General features: G+C 39.7%; 1 protein-coding gene across 8 annotated transcripts in view; it reads left to right on the top strand.

Moving 5' to 3' along the window:
- Positions 1-24,860, top strand: part of TAOK3 (TAO kinase 3) — a 223,107-nt gene that overhangs the window by 99,166 nt on the left and 99,081 nt on the right. For 6 of the 8 annotated variants that reach the window (NM_016281.4, NM_001346487.2, NM_001346493.2 and 3 more), the window contains exons 2-3: positions 6,983-7,087; positions 18,087-18,294. In NM_016281.4, the coding sequence (NP_057365.3) occupies positions 18,175-18,294 (120 nt within the window). In that variant the 5' untranslated portion in view covers positions 6,983-7,087; positions 18,087-18,174. Of the gene's footprint in view, positions 1-6,982; positions 7,088-12,068; positions 12,246-18,086; positions 18,295-24,860 lie in introns of all 8 variants that reach the window. The other 2 variants (NM_001346488.2, NM_001346491.2) reach the window with 1 other exon arrangement.

The following is a 24,860-nucleotide window of genomic DNA, read 5'->3' as shown; positions in this document are numbered from 1 at the left end:
TGGGTTCAAGCTATTCTCCTGTCTCAGCCTCCTGAGTAGCTGGAATTATAGGTATGCGCCACCACGCCCAGCTAATTTTTTTCTATTTTCAGTAGAGACGGGTTTTACCATGTTGACCAGCCTGGTCTTGAACTGCTGACGTCAAGTGATCTACCTGCCTCAGCCTCCCAAAGTGCTGAGATTATAGGCATGAGCCACTATGCCCGACCTATTTTTTTCTTTTTCTTTTTTTTCTTTTTGAGACGGAGTCTCGCTCTGTCACCCAGGCTGGAGTGCAGTGGTGCCGATCTCGGCTCACTGCAACCTCTGCCTCCTTGGTTCAAGCGATTCTCCTGCCTCAGCCTCCCGAATAGCTGGAACTACAGGCGTGTACCACCACACCTGGCTAATTTTTTGTATTTTTAGTAGAGATGGGGTTTCACCGTGTTAGCGAGGATGGTCTGGATCTCCTGACCTTGTGATCTGCTTGCCTCAGCCTCCCAAAGTGCTGGGATTACAGGCATGAGCCACCGCGCTGGCCCTATTTTTTTCTTAAAGAGGCCCTCAAATTTGTTTACTCTGCAGTCCTCGTAAGAACTGAATCTAGCACCATATCTTTAAATGTCCTGAGATCCTTGGGAGGAATAGTAACAGAAGTTCAATCTTACATTAAATTTAAAATTTTCTTGATTACCCTCCAAAATAGTAAAGTATGACTTAGGGCAGCATGGTTCAGGAGAATAAATTTCTGTAATGGAAAATCAGAAGTCCTGGATTTTTTTTTTTCCAGACAAGTTCTTACTTTGTCACCTAGGTTGGAGTGCAGTGGCACAATCTCGGCTCACTATAGCCTCAGCTTCCTGGGCTCAAGCAATCCTCCCACCTCAAGCCCCAAGTAGCTGGGACTACAGGCACGTGCTACCATGCCCAGCTAATTTTTTTGTATTTTATTTCATAGAGACGGGGGTCTCACTGTGTTACCCAGGCTGTTCTCAAACTCCTGGACTCAAGCAACCCTCCCACCTCGGTCTCCCAAAGTGCTAGGATTACAGGCATGAGCCACTGCACCTGGCCAGAAGTCTGGGATTTTAATTTGGGGATAATGCTGCCACAGAGGTGTGATGTGATGCTTAACTTTTCTGAGATTGAGTATAAAAAGAAAAAAAGGAGTTGAAATGGTGTATCTTTAAAATTCTTTCCAGTATGAAACATTCTAATTCTTATTTACTTTATTAATACTGAAATATTGTGGAGTTTTCGAATTCACTGGCTCCAGGATAGTGCTGCCAGAGAAAAACATTGTTGAGAAGAACATTATTGTTGAAAAAAACATTGAAACACAACTAAGATCTTCAATGAATCATCTTTCTTGAAGTTTCTGGGAAAGGGAAAATTATTTTAAAAATATATATTTCTACTCTCTATCAAGTGTTCTTTCTTTCTTTCTTTCTTTCTTTTTTTTTTTTTTTTTGAGATGGAGTCTTGCTCTGTCACCCAGGCTGGAGTGCAGTGGTGTAACTCGGCTCACTGCAACCTCTGCCTCCTGGGCTTAAGTGATTCTCATGCCTCAGCCTCCCAAGTAGCTGGGATTACAGGCATGCGCCACCAGTGTTCTTTCTTATAGTAAGTTAGAATGTCTTGTGAGAAATAATTTACTTGATTACCATTGTTAGAAGGTTTCCATTTCTTAGAATAAAGAAGTGTTTGCGAAGAAAATTATTTCAATTGCACATCTCTGATGAAATCTTCTACTCCGTGCTAGTTGGATTGTTTATTTGGCCCAAGGGCCTAAAACCTGAAATACTACATTCTTGGCGCAGTTCTACATTCTCACTATAAATGTAATACCTGAGGTTGCAGGAGGTTAAGGAAGAGGGAAAAACTTATTTTATGCCTGTTATTTCATCTTATCCTCTTAGAAGAAAAAATATTCTTGTTTATCTTTTGGGGAAAGGATTAATTTGAATGGTCATTTTAATTATAAGATTGAAATGGAACAGGGAAGGTGATTTCATCAGATTTTTATGGAATATCTGCTACTTAAAGAAGCCGTAGGGCCCAGCATTTCCACTCATAGGCATATGCTCAAGAAAAATGAAAACATATATCCGCCTAAAAACTTATACATGAATAATTCTAGTAGCACTATCCATAATGGCCAAAAGTTAAAGCAGTCCAAATGTCCATCACCTGATAAATGGATAAAATGTGACATATCCATATAATGGAATATTATTTGGCAATAAAAAGAAATACTGATTCATGCTATGCATTGGATTTGAAAACATGCTGAGTGAAAAATGCCAGTCATGAAAGACCACATATTGTATGATTCCGTTTATATGAAATTCCCAGAACAAGGAAATCTATAAAGATGGAAAGTATGTTAGTAAATTTCTTAGGAATGGAGGGAATGGGGTGGGGCGAGGCTGGGGTAATAGCTAAAGGGTATGGTTTTGTGTGTGTATGTATGGTGATGAAAATGTTCTAAAAATAACTGTGGTTGGTAACGGTTGTACATATCTAAAATGCTAAATACTAAATATACTAAAAACCATTGAATTGTACACTTTAAATGGGCAGAGTGTATGATAGGTGAATTATATCTCAATAACACTGTTTTTATTTTTTAAAATATCAGGGGTTACAATGATTAATCCAAATGTGGACTTAGACAATTACCCTTCTCTGAAGAAGCACTTGCCATCCAGTTTTAGAATACTAACTATGTGTGTTGAAAACTGATGCAAAGGGAGAAAATAGTAGGTTTTATAGAAGTGACATTTAGCCGGGCGTGGTGGCTCACACCTGTAATCCCAGCACTTTGGGAGGCTGAGGCGGGCGGATCACGAGGTCAGAAGATCGAGATCATCCTGGCTAACATGGTGAAACCCCATCTCTACTAAAAATACAAAAAAAAATTAGCTGGGCGTGGTGGCGGGCGCCTGTAGTCCCAGCTACTGGGGAGGCTGAGACAGGAGAATGGCGTGAACCCGGGAGGCGGAGCTTGCAGTGAACCGAGATCGGCGCCACTGCGCTCCAGCGTGGGAGACAGAGCAAGACTTTGTCTCAAAAAAAAAAAAAAAAAAAAAAGTGACATTTAGCTGGACTGTAAGAATAGCTGAGATTTGGGCCTTATAAGCAGAGGACACAACTTAGACAAAGACCAAGTGAGAAGTGAAATACAAAGTATATATACAAATGTAACTGAATGGAATTTATTTTTTCCTGATTATAGAGTTTAAGAATTTAGGTTAGACTACTGGTTTGAAGCCAGCTTTGAATGTTCGTTAGGTAAAGTTATTATTATTATTATTGTTATTCTTTATCCCATAGGAAGTAGTGAGATTTTGAAAGATTTTGAGCAGAGCTGTGATATTATCTGAACCATGCTTTAGAAAGATGATTATGGTAATAGTGTTTTTCTAATTCCAGAAAAGATAGAGGCTGTAAGAGGAAAAGAAAAGGAGAGAGCATATGAATGCCAGAGAAATGGAAAAACAGGAAGCAGAAATTGGGGATTAATTGAATGTTAAGGGACAGGGAAAAAGAACAAAGTTAATGGGAGGTGTATGTGAGCCATTTAGGGGAGAAGCCGAATAGATATTTGAAAATACAGGACTGGGGCTTGGAATAATGGTCAGTACTGTCTAGTGACACAGTATTACTTAAAATCATTAAATGGGCAGAAATTAAGATAGCAGCTTGCAGTCACACAGAGGACTTGGGGAAATCCTTAGAGGAACACATTCATTTAGGCATCAGAGAGAAGAGGAAGTATAATCAGAATAATTTGGAAAAACAGAAGACAGTTTCATGGGATCCAAGAGACATTTATGAAGAAGGAAGTGGGGGTAGTAAAATGGAAGAAAATTGAAAATATCCTTTAGGTTCAATGGATGAACTTCAGGAATACTGTCTTCAGCTTCAATAGCAATGCAATATTGTAGCAGAAAAGCAAACAAAGAAAAGATAAAACTGAGAAGGCTTAATTCCTAGAAGTCTTAGAGAGATAATTTTAGAACATATATAGAGCTTGGCAACCAAAGATGAAGAGAATATGCATGCATTTTAAGAAAATTATGTAAAAGTGGGCTGGGCGCAGTGGCTCACGCCTGTAATCTCAGCACTTTGGGAGGCCGAGGCAGGTGCATCATCGCAAGTCAGGAGTTTGAGACCAGCCTGGCCAATATAACGAAACCCCATCTCTACTAAAAATACAAAATTAGCCAGGCGTGGTGGTGCACGCCTGTAATCCCAGCTACTTGGAAGGCTGAGGCAGGAGAATCGCTTGAACCCAGAAGGCAGAGGTTGCAGTAAGCCGATACTGCATCACTGCACTCCAGCCTGAGTCTCAAAAAAAAAAAAAAAAAAAAAAAGAAGAGAGAGATAGAGAAAGAAAATTAATTATGTAACTATTTAGAGAGAGGATAATTAGCCCAGCATGGTGGCAAGAGCCTGTCCTCCCAGCTACTCAGGAGGCTGAGGCATGAGAATCGTTTGAACCTGGGAGGTGGAGGTTGCAGTGAGCTGAAATCTCGCCACTGTACTCCAGCCTGGGCAACAGAGCCAGACTCTGTCTCAAAAAATAAAAAAAGAAAGAAAGAAAGAGAGAGAAGAAAGAGAAGAAAGAAAGAAAGAGAAAGAAAACTATTTTCTAGGAATGAATGTTTCCTGATTTGTAAGATGCCTTATTTGAAACTCTCTTTCTTTTCTTTTTTCTTTTCTTTTGTTTTCTTTTCTTTTCTTTCTTCTGAGACAGAGTTTTGCTCTTGTTGCCAGGCCGGAGTGCAATGGCATGATCTCGGCTCACCCCATCTTCCGCCTCCCAGGTTCAAGCGATTCTCCTGCCTCAGCTGCCCGAGTAGCTGGGATTACAGGAATGCGCCACCACACCCGGCTAATTTTGTATTTTTAGTAGAGACAGGGTTTCTCCATGTTGGTTAGGCTGGTCTTGAACTCCTGACCTCAGGTGATCCACCCGCCTTGGCCTCTCAAAGTGCTGGGATTACAGGTGTGAGCCACTGTGCCTAGCTGAAACTACTTTCTTAGAAATTTAGCAACTAGTGTTCATATGATGTCATAAGGAATATTTTAGTTTATTGGAGCTATAGTCAGACTACATTAGCAGAGTAGACATGCAAACATTGCAGTTATTGATTGGTTAGTGGTTAGGTAAAATGTGATGCTGAATTCAGGCAAGTTTTAGCTACCAGTTAATCTGAAGCATTCCACAGCCACAGACAGAATCGGAAGGAGTAACAGAAATAATGAAAACGTTCAGTTTATAACTATAGGCATGAGACAAGAGTGGGATATTCTCAGCAAGAAAAATGTGAAAATGGAAGTCCATAGTTTTTTTCTAGTTTTTTCCTGTAAGGCCTTCATCTACAATGCTAGTCAAGCATCTAAAAATTATTCCAATATATGTAGGTTTTAAATTGTTATATTCTTTGACCCAATAATTCTACTTCTAGAAAGCCATTCTCAAGAAAGCCTCCAAAATGTAGATAAGTAATAGGCACCAAGATCTTCCAGACACAATAATTTTCAATAGTTCAACAAAAGGTTGAATACAGCCTTGGTTTTTGATTGTGGAGAAATGGTTGTGAATGAATTGCAGCTCTTCCATAAGACAGACAATAAGTAGTCATTAAAATGACCTTTGTGAACAGTATTTGGTGATATGGCAAAATAGTCATAGAGTTAGATAAAAGAGGTGAACTATGGAATTACACATATAATGTGATCTCAGCTGCATTTTAAAAATGCAGGCAGAAATAAATACGTCCATGGAGAAAAGTATGCCAGATTGTTAATGGAGTTTTGCCTGGATAGGATTATGGATTTTTTTCTTTCCTTTTTTTTTTTTTTTTTTGAGATGGAGTCTCACTCTGTCACCCAGGCTGGAGTGCAGTGGTGCGATCTCGGCTCACTGCAACATCTGCCTCCTGGGTTCAAGCGATTCTCCTGCCTCAGCCTCCTGAGTAGCTGGGATTACAGGCACATGCCACCAGGCTCAGCTAGTTTGTTTATTTTCAGTAGAGACGGGGTTTCACCATGTTGGTCAGGCTGGTCTTGAACTCCTGACCTAGTGATCCGCCTGCCTTGGCCTCCCAAAGTGCCGGGATTACAGGCGTGAGCCACTGCGTCCGGCCGGATTTTTTTCTTAATAATGTGTATTTCCCAAGTTTTCTACATTGGGCATGTACTTCTTTAATAGATAATTTAAAAATAATCATCACTCCAGCCGGGCGCGGTGGCTCACGCCTGTAATCCCAGCACTTTGGGAGGCCAAGGTGGGTGGATCACTTGAGGTCAGGAGGTCGAGACCAGCCTGGCCAACATGGTGAAACCCCGTCTGTACTGAAAATACAAACATTAGCCAGGCTTGGTGGCAGATGCCTATAATCCCAGTACTTGGGAGGCTGAGGCAGGAGAATTGCTTGAACCTGGGAGGTAGAGGTTGCAGTGAGCCGAGATCATGCCACTGCACTCCAGCCTGGGCAACAGAGCAAGACTCCGTCTCAAAAAAAATAAATAAATAATAATCATCACCCTGAAAATGTGGAAGATTGGTTATAGGAGAGCCTAGGAAAGGAAAGGTAGAGTAATCAATGCAAATCATCATGTCTATTGGAAAAGCAATTCAAAATAGAAGCCTTAACAACAGAGAATCAGTAGCATTACCGCGTGCTGTCAGATTAGTGCTGTCTACTGGTAATCTCCATTAAGTTACCTGGACACAAACAAACCAGTGGAAGCTTCAGTATAGATTCTTAAATCTAACGACACATTTGTTTCCCAGATATTGCCTGTGAAAGAGTAGCTTGCATCTTTGTTTTGAGCATCTTACCTTTTAACTTTGCCATCCACAAACAGATGAAGATAAAATTTTAACTTTGTAATATTACATTTGTAAATATGTAAAACTACCACATGAGCAATTATTGATTCTTTAATTTGGCTGATAATTATGTATTTTGTTCTTCTTTTTCTATAGGTTGCATCATAAATACAAAGGACTGAAGTTATAAAAGAGAAAAGAGAAGTTTGCTGCTAAAATGAATCTGAGCAATATGGAATATTTTGTGCCACACACAAAAAGGTATTGTCCATACAACTTAGCTTTCTCCTAAGAAATGGAAAAAAATAATATTTTCTGGGTTTTTGGATGAATTTTTATCTTTGAAAGAAAAATAAAAGGGAAAGTAAAAATATTAATAAAATTGGGATAAAATATTCTTTTATAAAAATCTTTGGCCGGGTGCGGTGGCTCATGCCTGTAATCCCAGCACTTTGGGAGGCTGAGGCAGGTGGATCACCTGAGGTCAGGAGTTCGAGACCAGCCTGATCAAAATGGAGAAACCACGTCTCTACTCAAAATGCAAAAAAAAAAAAAATTAGCCGGGCGTGGTGGCGCATGTCTGTAGTCCCAGCTACTGGGGAGGCTGAGGCAGGAGAATTGGTTGAACCCAGGAGGCAGAGGTTGCGGTGAGCCGAGATCGTGCATTGCACTCCAGCTTCGGCAACAAGAGCGAAACTCTGTCTGAAAAAAATAAAATAAAAATAAAAATCTTTGAGTTTCTATTTATTTCCTAAAATTTTTTTTCTTCTCAGTTATAGTTTACAATATAGAGAATTATTTGGTTAAAAGAAATGAGCTTACTTAAACTTTCTTGATTCCTATTGTCAAATTATTTTCTGGAAATATATATATTGCCATTTTTTTGTTGGTAGTTTATAGTTAGATTTGAAATTACCTAAAAGGTTTCGTATCACTTTTCTTCTAATTACAGAAGTAATAGACTTTGCAAAATATGATTTTAGAAAATACACAGAAACAAAAAGAAGGAAATAAAAAATTACCCAAAATTTCAACACCTAACTTCAGATAAAACACAAGCTACAAAGAAACCCAAACTTACAGATCAAAGAAGTCACGTTTCCCAGATGCACTGTCGTATTCCTTCTGTACGTTCCCTAATTATGCCTTGCCTCTTTTGCTAAAACAAAACAAACAAGAAACTGCCTTGTGTGAATTCCCAAAAGTGTATTACTAGGTCAAAGAGCATACCCATCCTATTCTTCAAGCAATGTATGAAACTATTTTCTTATACCCTTACCCCAAAAAAAGTATATTTTTTCCTCTTATTTGCCAATTTGGTGGGTGAAATGAGGTGTTATATTATTTCTGTTTTTACTTCCTTGATCATTAGTGAAGTTACATGTTTCATATTTTAAATGGACACTACTCTTTTTTTTGTTTTGTTTTCCTACCTGTCTCTTTTGAGTTTGTAGGTAAGTGTATGTGTGTGTGTGTTCACCTCTCTGATATTCAGAATAGCTTTTTTTTTTTTTTTTTTTTCTTCCTGAGACAGTGTTTCACTCTGTCACCCAGGCTGGAGTGGAGTGGCATGATCTCAGCTCACTACAACCTCCACCTCCTGGGTTCAAGCAGTTCTCCTGCCTCAGCGTCCTGAGTAGCTAGGATTACAGGCAAGCGCCACCATGCCCGGCTAGTTTTTGTATTTTTAGTAGAGACGGGGTTTCACCATGTTGGCCAGGCTGGTCTTGAACTCCTGACCTCGTGATCTGCCCTCCTCGGCCTCCCAAAGTGCTGGGATTTCAGATGTGAGCCACCATGCCCGGCCCAGAATAGCTTTTAACTGGCAAATATTTTGCAAAATTTTTCTCTACTTCATTTAATTTATGTATTTTTTTCTTTTGAGACAGAGTCTCGCTCTGTTGCCCAGGCCAGAGTGAAGTGGCACAATGTCTGCTCACTGCAACCTCTGCCTCCGAGATTAAAAGAATTCTCTCACTTTAGTCTCCCAACTAGCTGGGATTACAGGCATGCACCACCACACCCAGCTGATTTTTGTGTTTTTAGTAGAGACAGGGTTTCACCATGTTGGCAAGGCTGGTCTCGAACTCCTGACCTCAAATGATCTGCCTGCTTCTGCCTCCCAAAGAGCTGGGATTACAAGCATGAGCTACCACACCCAGACTTATTTCAATTTGGTACATCTTTCTACAACAATAATGTGTACATATTTAAAGAGCATAATTTGTTTTAACAGGTATATATCTGTGAAACCACCATCATAGTGGAAATAAACATATCCACTATCACTCCCAAAAAGCTTCATCAGGCCCCTTTTTAGCCCCTCCTACCTACTCCTTTTTACCTGCCATCACCACCCCCTTCCCCCAGGTAACCACTGATATGATTTCTATCTCTTTAAATTAGTTTGCATTTTCTAGAATTCCATATAAATGAAATCATAAAGTATGTGCTATTTTTTGTCTGACTTCTTTTACACAGCATATTTTGAGATTCATTCATATTGTAGTGTATATCTGTAGTTTATTTTATTGCTGAGTTACAGTCCATTGTATTTATCACAGATTGTCCATTCATTTGTTGATATACATTTGGGTTGTTTCCAATTTTGGCTATTAAAGCTACTGTGAACATTTGTATACATGGCTTTGTATTGACATAAGCTTTCATTTTTCTTGGGTAAATACTTGAGTATAATGGCTACATCATATGATAGGTGTATGTTTAACTTTTTAAGAAACTGCCCAATGTTTTCCAAAGTGTTTTACCATTTTACATTCCCACCAGCAGTGTATGAAAGATACAGTCACTCCATATGCTAATGGCTAACATTAAAAAGACTGAGTTTTGAGACAGAGTTTCGCTCTTGTTGCCCAGGCTGGAGTGCAATGGCACAATCTTGGCTCACTGCAACTTCCACCTCCTGGGTTCAAGCACTTCTCCTTCCTCAGCCTCCCGAGTAGCTGGGATTACAGGCGCTCACCACAACACATGGCTAATTTATGTATTATTAGTAGAGATGAGGTTTCACCATGTTGGCCAGGCTGGTCTTGAACTCCTGACCTCAGGTGATCCACCCACCTCCGCCTCCCAAAGTGCTGGGATTACAGGTGTGAGCCACCGTGCCCGGCCTCTCATGGGTTTTCATTTGCATCTCCCTAATGAGTAGTGATAGTATGCATCTTTCTTTTGCCATTCATCCATCTCACTTGGTAGAGTGCTTGTGTTCAAATCTTTTGTCCATTAAAAAAATTGGGTTTTCTTATTTTCTTATTATTAAGTTTTGACAATTCTTTATGTTTTCTGGATCCAGGGGTCCCATTATGAGACATAATTTGCAAAGATTTTCTCCCAATATCTTGCTTGTCTTTTGATTTTCTCAAGTGTCTTTCAAAAAGCAGACATTTTTAATCCTGACGAAGTCTAATTTATGAATTTTTCCTTTGATGGATTGTGCTTTGGGTTATTAACTAAGAAATTTTTAACTAACCTGGGGTCACAAATATTTTCTCCTGTACCTTCGTCTAGAAGTTTTATTATTGTAGATTTACATTTAGTTCTATAACCTATTTGGAGTCAGTTTTTACACAGGTTGTTAGTATGGACCAAATATCTGTTTTCTTGCATATTTGGATGCAAGTGTTCCAGTACCATTCATTGAAGACAATTATTTCTTCATTGGATTGCCTTTGTACTTCTACCAAATCTCAGTTGTCCATAAATATGTGGGTCTACTTCTGGGCTTCCTATTCCACTGCACTGATTAATTTGTCTATCTCTGTGCCAGTATTGCATGGTCTTGATAACTGTAGATTTATAATAAAGTTTGAAATTATTTTATGCTAGCTCTCCAACTTTGTCCTCCTTTTTCAAAGTTGCTTTGGTTATTCTGGGTCCTTTGAATTCTCATATGAATTTTAGATTAAACTTCTCAGAGTTTAAAAAATGTTGAGTCTTCTGATTTATAAACACCGTATATCCCTTCATTATGTCTTTATGTCATTATTATTTTGTCATTTTCAGTGTACAGGTCTTATATATCCTTTGTCGCATTGATCCCTAAGTATTTCGCTTTTTTTTTTTTTTTTTGAGACGGAGTCTTGCTCTGTCACCCAGGCTGGAGTGCAGTGACACGATCTCAGCTCACTACAACCTCTGCCTCCCGGTTTCAAGCGATTCTCCTGCCTCAGCCTCCCAAGTAGCTGGGATTACAGGTGTGTGACACCACACCTGGCTAATTTTTGTATTTTTAGTAGAGACAGGGTTTCACCATGTTGGCCAGGCTGGTCTTGAACGCCTCACCTCAAGTGATCCACCCACCTCAGCCTCCCAAAGTACTGGGATTATAGGCGTGAGCCACCGCACCCGGCCATATTTCACATTTTTTATGCTACCATGATATTTTTAAATTTGATTTTCTTTTTCTTTCTCTTTGAGATGGAGTCTCGCCCTGTCGCCCCGGCTAGAGTGTAGTAGTGCGATCTCAGCTCACTGCAACCTCCACCTCCCAGGTTCAAGCAGTTCTCTGCCTCAGCCTCCCGAGTAGCTGGGACTACAGGTACCCACCACCACGCCCGGCTAATTATTTGTACTTTTAATAGAGATGGGGTTTCATCATCTTGGCCAGGCTGGTCTTGAACTCCTGACCTTGTGATCCACCTGCCTCGGCCACCCAAAGTGCTAGGATTACAGACATGAGCCACCGTGCCTGGCCTTGATTTTCATTTATTTATACATAGAGACATAATCATTTCAGGCCAGGCACAGTGGCTCACACCTGTCATCCCGGCACTTTGGGAGGCCGAGGTGTGTGGATCACTTGAAGCCAGGAATTTGAGACCAGCCTGGCCAATGTGACAAAACCCCGTCTCTACTGAAAATACAAAAATTAGTCAGACATAGTGGTGCATGCCTGTAATCCTAGCTACTTGGGTGACTGAGGCACGAGAATTGCTGGAACCCGGGAGGCAGAGGTTCCAGTGAGCCAAGATCGTGCCACTGCACTCCAGCCCAGGTGACAGAGGGCAGAGTAAGACTGTGTCTCAAAAAAAAAAGAAGTGTAATCATTTTATGTGTTGATCTTCTGTACTTTTTAATAAACTAATAAGTTCTAGTAGCTTTTGTAGATCCCACTGAATTTTTTGACAATGATTATGTTGTTTGACAACAGAAAGTCTTACTTCTTCCTTTTCAGTCTTGATGCTTTTTGTTTCTTTTTTTCTTATTTACTGCACCTGTACAGCATCTGGCACAATGTTTTTGTTTGGTTTGGTTTGGTGTTGTAAAGAGAGAGGATCTTGCTATGTTTGCCAGACTGGTCTCAAACTCCTGGTCTCAAGTCATCCTCTCACCTTGGCCTCCCAAAGCATTAGGATTACAGACATGAGACATCACACCCAGCCCCAGCACAATGTTGAATGTAAGTGTTGCGAGTAAACATCCTTGCCTCCTTCCTGATTCTGTATTTAACATGCTTTTTTTCTCTGGATACTTTTATGATTTTCTCTTTATCACAAATTTTGAGCAATTTATTATGATGTGCCTTGGTATAATTTTCTTCGTATTTCTTGTGCTTGAGGTTCATGGACCTTCTTGGATCTGTGGGTTTATACTTTTCATCAAATTCATAATTTTCTCCACTATTACTTCCTCAAATAATTTTTTCTGTCCTAATATCTTTCCTCCCCTTCAGGGACTCCACTTAGACATACAGTAGGCCACGTGAAGATGTTCCACAGCTCACTGATGCTCTGGGTCGTGGGTTTGGTTTTTGTTTTGTTAGTCTTTTTTCTGTTTTATTTTGGATAGTTCCTGTTGTTGTGTCTTCAAGTTCAGTAACCCCTTTTTCGGCAAAGTCTCCTCTGCTATGCAACCCATGCAGAGGATTTTTAAATCTCAGACATTGTAGCTTTCATCTCTAAAGGTCTGATTTGAGGGCCAGGTGTGGTGGCTCACACTTGTAATCCCAGGAGTTTGGGAGGCCAAGGTGGGTGGATCACTTGTGGTCAAGAGTTTGAGACCAGCCTGGCCAACATGGTGAAACCCTGTCTCTACTAAAAATACAAAAATTAGCTGGATGTGGTGGCGCATGCCTGTAATTCCACCTGCTTGGGAGGCTGAGGCAGGAGAAGTGCTTGAACCTGGGAGGCAGAGGTTGCAGTGAGCTGAGATTGCACCACTGCACTCTAGCCTGGGCAACAGAACGAGACTCCATCTCAAAATAATGACATACATATATGCATAAAATAAAGGTTTACTTTGAATCTGTTTATATTTTGTCTGTCTCTGCTTTACATGTTCGAAATTTTCTCCACCCTTTTCAATATATGGAATACAACTGTATTAAATGTTTTAATGTCCTTGACCACTAATTTTAACATGTATCATCTATATCAATTATGGTTTGGTTTCAATTATTTTTCTCCTCATTATGAATTATATTTGCCTGCTTTTCTGCATGCCTGGTAATTTTTTATGGAGTGTTAGATATTGTGAATTTTACCTTTTTAGATACTGGATATTTTTATATTCCTTCAAGTATTCTTGGACTTTGTTCTGGAACACAGTTAAGTTACTTGGAAATAATTTCATCCTTTTAGGTCTTGCTTTTAAAATTTGTTAGAGGCAGGCACAGTTGGTCATGCCTGTAATCCCAGCACTTTGGGAGGCAGAGCCGGGAGGATCACTTGAGTCCCGGAGGTTGAGGCTGCAATGAGCCATGATTGTACCCTTGCACTCCAGCCTGGGTGACAGAGCAAGACCCTGTCTCACAAATAAAAAATAGATAAAATAAAAATTGTTAGGCATCACAGACCAGCATTTAGTCTAGGGTCCCTACTATGAAGGCAAGACTCTTCTGAGTAGCCTCCAGAATGCCCTGTGAATTATGAGATTTCTTATCCTGGCTAGGGGGAATGAGTACTATTCACAGCCCTTTTTGAGCTATAGGTACTATAGTTTGTATTCCTTTCAGATTGTTTTTTTCCCCTGGTCTAAGGTAGTTTTCTCATATGCATGCACTAATCAGTGCTCAGCTGAAGACTTGAGGGGAACCCTTTGCAAATCTCCATATCTTGTTTCTCTGCTGCTCTCTTCTATTTGACACTCTGCCCTGCCAACTCTACTCACCTTGGTCAACCTGGACTGTCATCTTTGTCTCCTCAACTCAGGGAGTCCACCAGGCTCTAACTGGATTTCCCCTCTCTGCAGCATGGCCTAGAAATTCTCCCAGGGCATTAAGCTCAAACATTTAATGGCTTACATCATTTGCCTATCTTCTGTCAGGGATCATTGTCTTTCTTTGCCTGATATCCATTGTCTTCAAATACCATCATTTATATGTTCTATCCAGTGCTTTTTTTGTTTGTTTGTTTTTTGAGATAGGGTCTTACTCTGCTGCCTGGGCTGGAGTGCAGTGGCATGATTTTGACTCACTGCATCCTTGATCTCCGGGCTCTGGTGGTCTTTCCACCTCAGCCTCCTGAGTAGCTGGGACTACAGGCGTACACCACCATACACAGCTAAGTTTTTGTATCTTTTGTAGCGATACAGCCTGTTGCCCAGGCTGGTCTCAAACTCCTGGGCTCAAGCCACCTGCCCACCTCGGCCTTCCAAAGTGCTAGGATTACAGACATGAGTCACCGTGGCTGGCCTTGTCCAGTGTTTTAATTGTTCCCGGTGGCAGATAATAAATCCAGCCCCTGTTACTCCATCTTGGCTAGAAGCAGAAGTCCCTTCATTACATGTTTAAGATAAAGAAGTTATTAATTATATATAGTTACAGTTATTGATTTTTAGTTTATGGCTTTGCCTCTGGTATCTTGCTAAGTAATTAAATATTCACTTGTAATTTATTCTAGAAGTTTTTATGGTCTCATTTTTACATTTAAATATTTATTTCTTCATAAAATGATTTTAGTCTATAATCCTTGTTTTCCCCCCAAATCCATAGCACTTAGCTTTATTCACATGGAAGCCAAAATATTCTAAAGTTTATAATGTGTTTTGGTGATTGAAAATATTTTAATTATCATAAGTTTAGTTCATAGGTCTTTTTGATTTTCTTAAAGATAGTCTCATAATTTCCCTTTTACGTATAGTCTCCAAAAAGGTATATCTTTGATTTAATCCATTGATTCTTTTTTTGTTGTTCTCAGACATAAGCAATAAAATCAAAATGCTTTTTGAGCTTTTTTTTTTTTTATGACAGAGTCTTGCTCTGTCATCACCAGGCTTGAATGCAGTGGCACGATCTCGGCTCACTGCAACCTCCGCCTCCCAGATTCAAGCAATTCTCCTGCCTCAGCCTCCCTAGTAGCTGGGACTACAGGAGCACCACCACACCTAGCTAATTTTTGTATTTTTTTAGTAGAGATGGGGTTTTACCATGTTGGCCAGAATGGTCTTGATCTCTTGACCTTGTGATCTGCCTGCCTTGGCCTCCCAAAGTACTGGGATTACAGGTGTAAGCCACTGCGCCCGGCCAGTTTTTGAACTCTCATTTTGTGCTTTCATTTACCTGATTGACAAATAGCTGGATTTAAGTTACTTTCCCAGTAGTATTGATGTAGTAACTTTATACTTGATTATTGGCATCCATGGATTGGCAGGATGACTGCCTAGGATTATAGGTGCATTGTTGGCGGAGGGATCCTTTTTCCCATATAAACCTTCAGTGGTTCCCCTTTCCCTCAGGATAAAGTCTAAACTTCTTAATATGGTTTAAAGGGTCTTTTGCAATTTTCCTTGGCTCAACACCAGCTTCATGTTTTCTCCTTCCAACTCTCCCATACAATTCATATTGAATGAACTAATTTTATTTTCCCTAAAAAGGCATGCTTTTTCACATCTAAGTCAAAAACAGGCTGAGTCATCCTATAATATCCTTATATTAAAAAATATTTATTTTCCCCTCATGATCCAATCAGTTAAAACCACTTTATCATTTGTGTCTTTATAATTTAATGTCTATAAGTCCATTTGACTCCTAAGCCCTTTAAGGATAGGGACTACATCCCATTCTACCTCCAAAACTCAGTACAGGGTATGGCAAATAGTGAGCATTCAACAATATTTGTTGAATGAAAGAATGAGTTGGGTAAGTGGATGGATCCTTAGGTTGATGACCTGTGTATACTAGTGAACTAACTAGACTATGAAGTAATGTATGTTGTCACCTATGGCTATGTCTCAAGAAAAAAATACCTCTTAGCACTATCAGTTTTACTTAATTAATTAGTTTCTTTTTTTTCTTCTCCTAGCATGAGACCCACTGGCCCATGTTTTGAAAAATAGTTTTATTGGCCAATAACCAAATTTCTATCTTGGTTATCTAGTTGGTCAAAGAAGAAACACCAACTATCCTGTGATCAGTGTAAACGTTGGCATAAATAAATGATTATCTGGGTATGAGGGCAGCGGTTATTTAAAATGAAAAATATAGATGATTGATAACATTTCTATATTTTTCAAAAAATAAAAAAGAATCTACATCAAATAAATTTATGTAACTAATGGCAGATCAATATATGAGCATGTCAAAATGATGTCCTTTTATTAATAGAAACTTTGATTTCAGAATGTTTTATGTAGCAGCAGAATAACTTGCCTCTTTACATGGGCATTTAACCTAGCCTCCATGTGATAGTAATTTCTTCTAGTAGTCAGTAAAGAATTGTTTAATTGCCTGTATTTCTATATGAATATACCACATGTCAATCAAGAGCATGGGCTTTGCTGTTAGATCTGAGTTTTAATTGCGGTCCTGACAAATACTGGCTTTCTGACCATGTGGAAGTAGTTTAGCCCATCAAAGTCTTAGTTGGTTCTATAAAATTAAGACAGTAAAGTCATTATATTATGAAGCTATTGTAGGGATTAAAGGAGATAATATATATAAGGTTTTAGTGCTGCCTGGCGCATAGTATCGATTAATAAATACCAACCGTTATTATTTCAACATTAATTACACCAAAATGAATTTTTGTAATATCTCTACAATATAATTTACATTCTATACCCTTTGCTCACTTAAAATGTGTAACTGAATGATTTTTGGTATAGTCACAGTTATGCAGTCATCACCACAGTCAATTTTAGGACATTTTCATCACCCTGAAAAGAAAGCCTGTATCTTTTAGCTATCACCCTCCAAACCCCCATCTCTAACCAATAATCTACTTTCTGTCTTTATAGATTTGCCTATTCTGGAAATTACATGTATATGTGTGTGTGTATATATGGAATCATACAATATATGGTCTTTTGTGACTGGTATCTTTCATTTGGCATAATTTTTACAAGGTTCATTCATGTTGCAGCCAATACTTCATTCCTTTTTACTGCTGAATAATATTCCATTATATGGATATACCACATTTTGTTTATTCTTTATCAGTTAAAGGATATTTGGGTTTTTCCATCTTCTGGTTATTATGAATAATGGTGCTATGAACATTTGTGCACAAGTTTTTGTGTGAACACATGTTTTCATTTCTCTTGGGGGTATGTGTGTACTTAGAAGTGGAAACTCTGGGTCAAATGGTAACTCGGTATTTAAGTTTGTTATGAACTGCAGGGCTGTTTTCTAAAATGGCACAGCTACCAGCAGTGTTGGAGGGTTCTAATTTCTCAGCATTTTCACAAACACTTATCTTACTTTTTGACTATCACTATCCTAGTGAGTATGCAATGGTATCTCACTGTGGTTTTAATTTTCGTTTCTCTAATAACTAATGATGTTTGAGGATCTTCTCATATGTTAATGGTCATTTGTATATCTTTTTGGAGAAATGTGTATTCAAATCATATGTCTGTTCTTTTTTTTTTTTTTGAGACAGAGTTTCCCTCTCATTGCCCAGGCTGGAGTGCAATGGCTCAATCTCGGCTCACCGCAACCTCAGCCTCCCGGGTTCAAGCGATTCTCCTGCCTCAGCCTCCCTAGTAGCTGGGATTACAGGCATGTGCCACCACGCCTGGCTAATTTTTTGTATTTTTAGTAGAGACAGGGTTTCTCCATGTTGGTAAGGCTGGTCTCGAACTCCCGACCTCAGGTGATCCGCCCGCCTCAGCCTCCCAAAGTGCCGGGATTACAGGCATGAGCCACCGCGCCCGGCCATATGTCCATTCTTTATTTGGGTTTTTTTGTCCTTTTGTTATTGAGTTGTGAGACCAAGAGGCTTTTAATATTTGTATGTATTTGTATTGCCACCAAGTAAAATGTGTTAGAAATAATTTAATGGCAAACCTTATTTTTCTACAGGTACTGAAGATTTACCCCCCAAAAAAAATTGTCAATGAGAAATAAAGCTAACTGATATCAAAAAGCAGAGCCTGCTCTACTGGCCATCATGCGTAAAGGGGTGCTGAAGGACCCAGAGATTGCCGATCTATTCTACAAAGATGATCCTGAGGAACTTTTTATTGGTTTGCATGAAATTGGACATGGAAGTTTTGGAGCAGTTTATTTTGTAAGTACTTAAAAGAGTCTTTTAGATAGATCAGATTAAGAAAGGTTGGACTCTAGGCCTGGCACAGTGACTCACGCCTGTAATCCTAGCACTTTGCAAGGCCAAGGTGGGAGGAAAGACCAGCCTAGGCAACATAGCAAGACCCTGTCTCTACAAAAAACTAAAATAAAATAAAGTTTGAACTCTACATGTTCTCTACACATAGCTGTTGCTCGTAAAATAAGCTTGGTTTCAGTGATTTTTCTATAAATTAAATGATATCTACCGTAGAGGCAAATAGTCATTGCTGAAAAGCCAGTTCCAGAATCCTAGGCTTTATTCAATTCAGTGGTATTTATAATCAATTGACTCACTTATTAAAGTAGTATAAGAAAGTTAAGAGCTTCAGCCGGGCACAGTGGCTCACGCCTGTAATCCCAGCACTCTGGGAGGCTGAGGCGGGCAGATCACGAGGTCAGGAGATCGAGACCATCCTGGCTAACACGGTGAAACCCCGTCTCTACTAAAAATACAAAAAAAAAAATTAGCCAGGCGTGGTGGCAGGCACCTGTAGTCCCAGCTGCTCGGGAGGCTGAGGCAGGAGAATGGCATGAACCAGGGAGGTGGAGCTTGCAGTGAGCCAAGATTGTGCCACTGCACTCTGGCCTGGGCAACAGAGTGAGACTCCGTCTCAAAAAATAAAAAAAAAAAGTTAAGAGCTTGAAGTTGAGCTTTGTGCATTTCCACTGTATGCTAAGCTCTTTCCTGCCTCAGAGCCTTATATGTGCTATTACCCCACCTAGAAAACTCTGCACATTACATCCCCATGCCTGTCCGTTCATCCTACAAGTTTTACCTTAAGTATTACTTTTGCAAGATACCCTTTACTGTTCAAGACTCCACCCCTAAATCAATACTTTATGATTTCATAACATCTTGTTCTTATATTTTGTTGCATTTATCACAGTTGTAATAAAACAATTACGTATACGATTTTTTGCTTTATATATGTCTTTTTCCCTAAATAACAAGTGTCATGAGGACAGGGTTTATGTCTATCTTGTTCATCGTTACAGACTCAAGAACTAGTATATGCCTGACAGTAGTAGGAATTTGATAAATAATGGATGGGTGGATGGATGGATGGATGGATGGATGGATGGTGGATAGACAGATAAACAGATGAACAGACAACTATTCAGAGAAAGGGACTGACAGTGATTTTTAGTGGCAATCATGTCAAGTCAGTATTTTCGTTTAAGGGGTACAAGGCTGTACCCCTAGAATCAGTTTTAGTTCCAAGAATGTGACTATCTCCTGATGAGAAAAACAAATAGCCAAAATTTTAACACAGCTTATTCACCTGAAATTCATTACATAAAATACAGTTTGTTTGTTCTTTTGTTTGTTTTTTGAGACAGAGCCTCGCTCTGTAGCCCAGGCTGGAGTACAGTGGCACGATCTTGGCTCACTGCAACCTCCGCCTCCTGGATCCCAGTTCAAGCAATTCTCCTGCGTCAGCCTTCCACATAGCTGGGATTACAGGCATGTGCCACCACGCTCAGCTAATTTTTGTATTTTTAGTAGAGACCGGGTTTCACCATGTTGGCCAGGCTGGTCTTGAACTGACCTCGTGATCTGACCACCTCGGCCTCCCAAAGTGGTGGGATTACAGGCGTGAGCCACTGCACCGGGCCCTGTTTTTTTTTTTTTGTTTGTTTGTTTGTTTGTTTTAAGACAGTCTTGCTCTGTCGCCCAGGCTGGAGTGCAGTGGCACAATCTCGGCTCACTACAACCTCCACCTCCCGGGTTCAAGCAATTCTCCCGCCTCAGCCTCCTGAGTAGCTGGGATTACAGACACCTGCCATCATGCCAGGCTAATTTTTGTATTTTTGTAGAGATGGGGTTTTACTGTGTTGGCCAGGCTGGTCTTAAACTCCTGACTTCAGGTGATCTACCCGTCTCGGCCTCCCCAAAGTGCTGGGATTACAGGCGTGAGCCACCGTGCCAGGCCAAAATATAGTTATTTAATTTAACAAATACTTCCTTAAGCATAATAGTCCATTAAAGCAAATAATAAATTAAGTACTAATTATTACCTACTTCTCCAAACTTGTAATCAAATAATTTCTTTGTAATCAAACATTACTGACTCTTCCATTTTAAGTGGTCCTTTATGTTCTGCCATCTGGATAGGGCTTATCTTTAGTTGTCCTTCCAAATGAGATTATTTTATGAATTGCATCTTTACTTTGTCCTTTTGCTTCTAGCCAAATCTTCAGCCTGGATTTTCTCTAAACTGTTTCTCAACCACTGCGTCTATGCTCAGCCCTACCATTACTTCTGCTTCCCTCACTACCATCAATAACTTGGCTCCCACTGAAGTATATTTTGTCATTAAATACAATAAAAGATTTTTCTGGCTGAAAAGGGTGCTAATTTCGGCTGGGCGCAGTGGCTCACGCCTGTAATCCCAGCACTTTAGGAGGCTGAGGCAGGCGGATCACGAGGTCAAGAGTTCGAGACTATCCTGGCTAACACGGAGAAACCCCGTCTCTACTGAAAAATAGAAAAACTTAGCCGGACATGGTGGTGGACGCCTGTACTTAGCTACTTAGCTACTCGGGAGGCTGAGGCAGGAGAATGGCGTGAACTCGGGAGGCAGAGCTTGCAGTGAGCCAAGATTGTGCCACTGCACTCCAGCCTGGGGGACAGAGTGAGACTCTGTCTCAAAAAAAAAAAAAAGAAAAGAAAAAAGGGTGCTAATTTCTTAGTTAACACTCCCTTGTTAGTGTGTAGTCAGAATATCATTTAAGGCCCAAAGTTCTGTCTTCTTTAGTCTCAGGTCCTCTTGTTAACAAAGCGTTTTTATTATAAGTATACATAAAGAAGTATATACAATATACATATCTATTTTAATATAGAACTTCAGAAAGAATTAAAAGGTAAATCTCTGTGTAAAAACACCACCCAGATCAAGAAATACAATACTGCCAGCATCCCAAAAGCCCCTCTTTATGTCTCCCTCAGTCAGAACCCTCTCCGTCCCCTTAAGAGTATCCACCATTCTGATTTTTATGGTGATTATTTTCTTACTTTTCTTTATAGTTATAACCCACTTAATCTGTACTCCTAAAAATGTAAATTGGTTTTGCTTAGTTTTGAACTTTTTAAAAATGGAAACATCTGTATATATTCATTTGTGACCTGTTTGTTTTGCTTACAGATGTATTCTTCTGTCATCTTTGCTTTCTTTTCTTCTATTATTTTAAATCTAATTCATCTTCTCAGAATCTCTCCTGGCAAGAGTCAGTCTCTATTTGACTCTTCTCATTTAAAAAGCAGCCAAGGCCGGGTGCAGTGGCTCATGCCTGTAGTCCCAGCACTTGGGAGGCCGAGGCGGGTGGATCACGAGGTCAGGAGATCGAGACCATCCTGGCTAACATGGTGAAACCCCATCTCTACTAAAAATACAAAAAATTAGCCAGGCATGGTGGCGGGCGCCTGTAGTCCCAGCTACTGGGGAGGCTGAGGCAGGAGAATGGCATGAACCCGGGAGGTGGAGCTTGCAGTGAGCTGAGATTGTGCCACTGCACTCCAGCCTGGGGGACAGAGTGAGACTCTGTCTCAAAAAAAAAAAAAAGCAGCCAAACCCTTCTTAAAGTGCTAATGTTTCAGAATGACTACAATAAACCAAGCATGCTTTGAAACTTACTAAAAGCCATTTATAATAGTGGCAAAATGAGACCTACGTTGTACTAGGCTGCAGAAGACCTAGTGGTTTATTTGCTTTTTGGGCTAAGCCCTGTCTATTTAGCTAGAGTGTGTGCGTTTTTGAAGGTGAGGACTATTTCTAATATTTGTTTACAACTCTAAAGGCTGGCACGATCTCATTTACAGTAGGCACTAAATATATATTATTTGTTGCTGATGATAGACTAGAGAAATGATACAGGTAGCAGAGTGGCATTGATAAACGTAATCATTAACTCTATAGGGCCTGTATATAAATGTGAAAAGTACAGGCCTATGTACACCCATAAAGCACTAAAAAACAGATTAAAAGGGAATTAACTGACACTGTACTATAGAACTTACGAAAAGCTTTAACCTTTTATCTGTAGTGGTCACATGGGCAGTACCTTAAAAATGGATTTTCCTGTTGGCCAAAGTAGTATTTATATAAGTTGCTTCTTACTCCGTGCTAATAGATTTTTCCTTTTGTTACTTGTACCATTATTACCAGGAAGACTCTGCTATCTCTTATTTGGACAACTATGATTGCCTGCTTTGGTCTCTTCAGTCTGTTGTGCATACCTCGATGAGCTTGAAAAAAGAAATGTAAATCTCATCCCATCCCCTTTCCCTATAAAGCCTTTAGGGGCTCTCCCTCGTTCTTAGGCCAAGATCAAAATCCCTACTATAGCCAGCCCACAAGGTCCTTCATGGTCCCTATCTCTACTTGAGCTATCTTCTCTCTCATTCTCATTGCTGTAGCTCTGATTCCTTTCTTCTGATCATCCTTCCTGGAATCTTGCGTAAACTGTTCTCTCTCGAATATTTCTCCCTTCTATTTTCACCTTCTTAACTCCTGTTCATCATTTAGCTCTCAGCCTAAACCTCATTTCTTCAGGGAAGGCTTTCCTGACCTCCCTAAGTCACATCCACCGTTGTTGGTTCTCAAAGTAACAAATACCCTTCTTTGTGGCACATATCAGAATTGCAGTTTTACATTTTGTCTTTTATTGTTTTATTTTTGTTATTGTCTATCCTCCTAGAGGAGAGATAGGTACTGGGCATATTAACTCACTATCTTATCCCTAGCACTTAGCCCAATTCCTGATAAATTGTGGGCAGCTAATAAGTATTTGTTGAATGAATGAATGATGAAGAACTCTGAGAACTTGGTACTGCTAATTAGTACTTTTCATAAGTCATAGTCATGCTGGCAAGCCATAAAGACCAGAGTCTGGCAGCTAGTATTTTTATACCTAAACACTATAATTCTGTTAGCCTCTGTAGGTCACAGCTTTTTACACTGAATGCTGCCAGGGAATAAACTTAGTGTGAATTGTAAGCTGGAACAGCTCTTGTAAAATCAATCAGCTGAGAGTATATGTTATGTTCAGAGAAAACAGAAATTATTAACTTGATGAAGTATTTCTGTGTGTTTGGATTTACGTAAGTAATTTTGAAATTTGCATCATTGGTTGGGCGTGGTGGCTCACACATGTAATCCCAGCACTTTGGGAGGCCGAGGTGGGAGAATCACTTTAGCCCAGGAGTTCGAGACCAGCCTGGGCAACATAGTGGGAACCCATCTCTAAAAAAAAAATTAAAAAAATAAAGAATAAATTAGCAGCATTAACAAATGAGGTAGTAAGAAACTGTACTAAAGGAAAACAAACAAAAAAAGGACTGCGCATGTTCATTTTTGTATTCACCTAAACACAACTCTAAAGTTTGTAGGTTTCTAGATCACCTTTGTTGAACTCAGTATATTATCCATAACCCACCTAAAGCAAATAGTTTAATTCTATCTTTCTGGATATAATTACCTTTTAGTTGGGGTTCAAAAAATAGGGCAAAAAGAAAGCTTTTTCACTTTTAAAATTTTTATTTATTCATTTATTTAGAGACAGGGTCTCTCACTCTGTCACCCAAGCTGGAGTACAGTGGTGTGATCATAGCTCACTGTAACCTTGAACCCTTGGACTCAAGCAATCCTACTGCCTCTGCCTCCTGAGTAGGTAGCTACGACTACAAGCATGTGCCACCACACCCAGCTAATTTTGGTTTTAATTTTTTTGTAGATACAGGGTTTTGCTATGTTGCCCAGGCTGGTTCCAAACTCCTGGGCTCAAGTGATCCTCCTGCCTCAGCCTCCTATTTTTTTTTTTTTTTTTTTAGACAAAATCTCACTCTGTCACCTAGGCTGTAGTGCAGTGGTGCAATCTTGGCTGACTGCAACCTCCGCCTCCTGGGTACAAGCAGTTCTTCTGCCTCAGCCTCCCAAGTAGCTGGGATTACAGACGTGTGCCACCACGCCCTGCTAATTTTCATATTTTTAGTAGAGACAGGCTTTCACCATGTTGGCCAGACTGGTCTCAAACTCCTGACCTCAGGTGATCCACCCACGTTGGCCTCCCAAAGTGCTGGGATTACAGGAGTGAGCCACCATGCCTGGCCTGCCTCCTAAATTAACATAATTTTTTATATTTGTCTATAAAATAGCAAAAGGTATAGCTGTAAAATGTTTAAAAATATAAACACATAATAGTAAGTTCTTAATAAGTATTTCTTGAATCAATGATCTTGGTAATAGTTACTGAGACCATTGAGACTATTGGAAGTATTAAGCATGAATGTAAGTTTCAAGAATAAAACTTGAAATGATAGAGGCTGTAGTCATTCATAGTACTGTATGCACTAGAAAGCTGAGACCCCATTGATACTCTCCTTTTTCTGTACTAAAACATTGATTTTTTTTTAAGTTTCTATCTAGCATGTTTTGACTTTTAGCCAGTATAAAAATTCACATCTATAGCAAAATTAACATTTGCACTAAAAAGTTCACATCTATAGAA

The sequence above is a fragment of the Homo sapiens genome, chromosome 12 (genome assembly GCF_000001405.40).
Source record: "Homo sapiens chromosome 12, GRCh38.p14 Primary Assembly".
Taxonomy (NCBI): domain Eukaryota; kingdom Metazoa; phylum Chordata; class Mammalia; order Primates; family Hominidae; genus Homo; species Homo sapiens.
The sequence above is the reverse complement of the archived record's forward strand: the minus strand, read 5'-3'. Positions and strand labels throughout refer to the sequence as shown.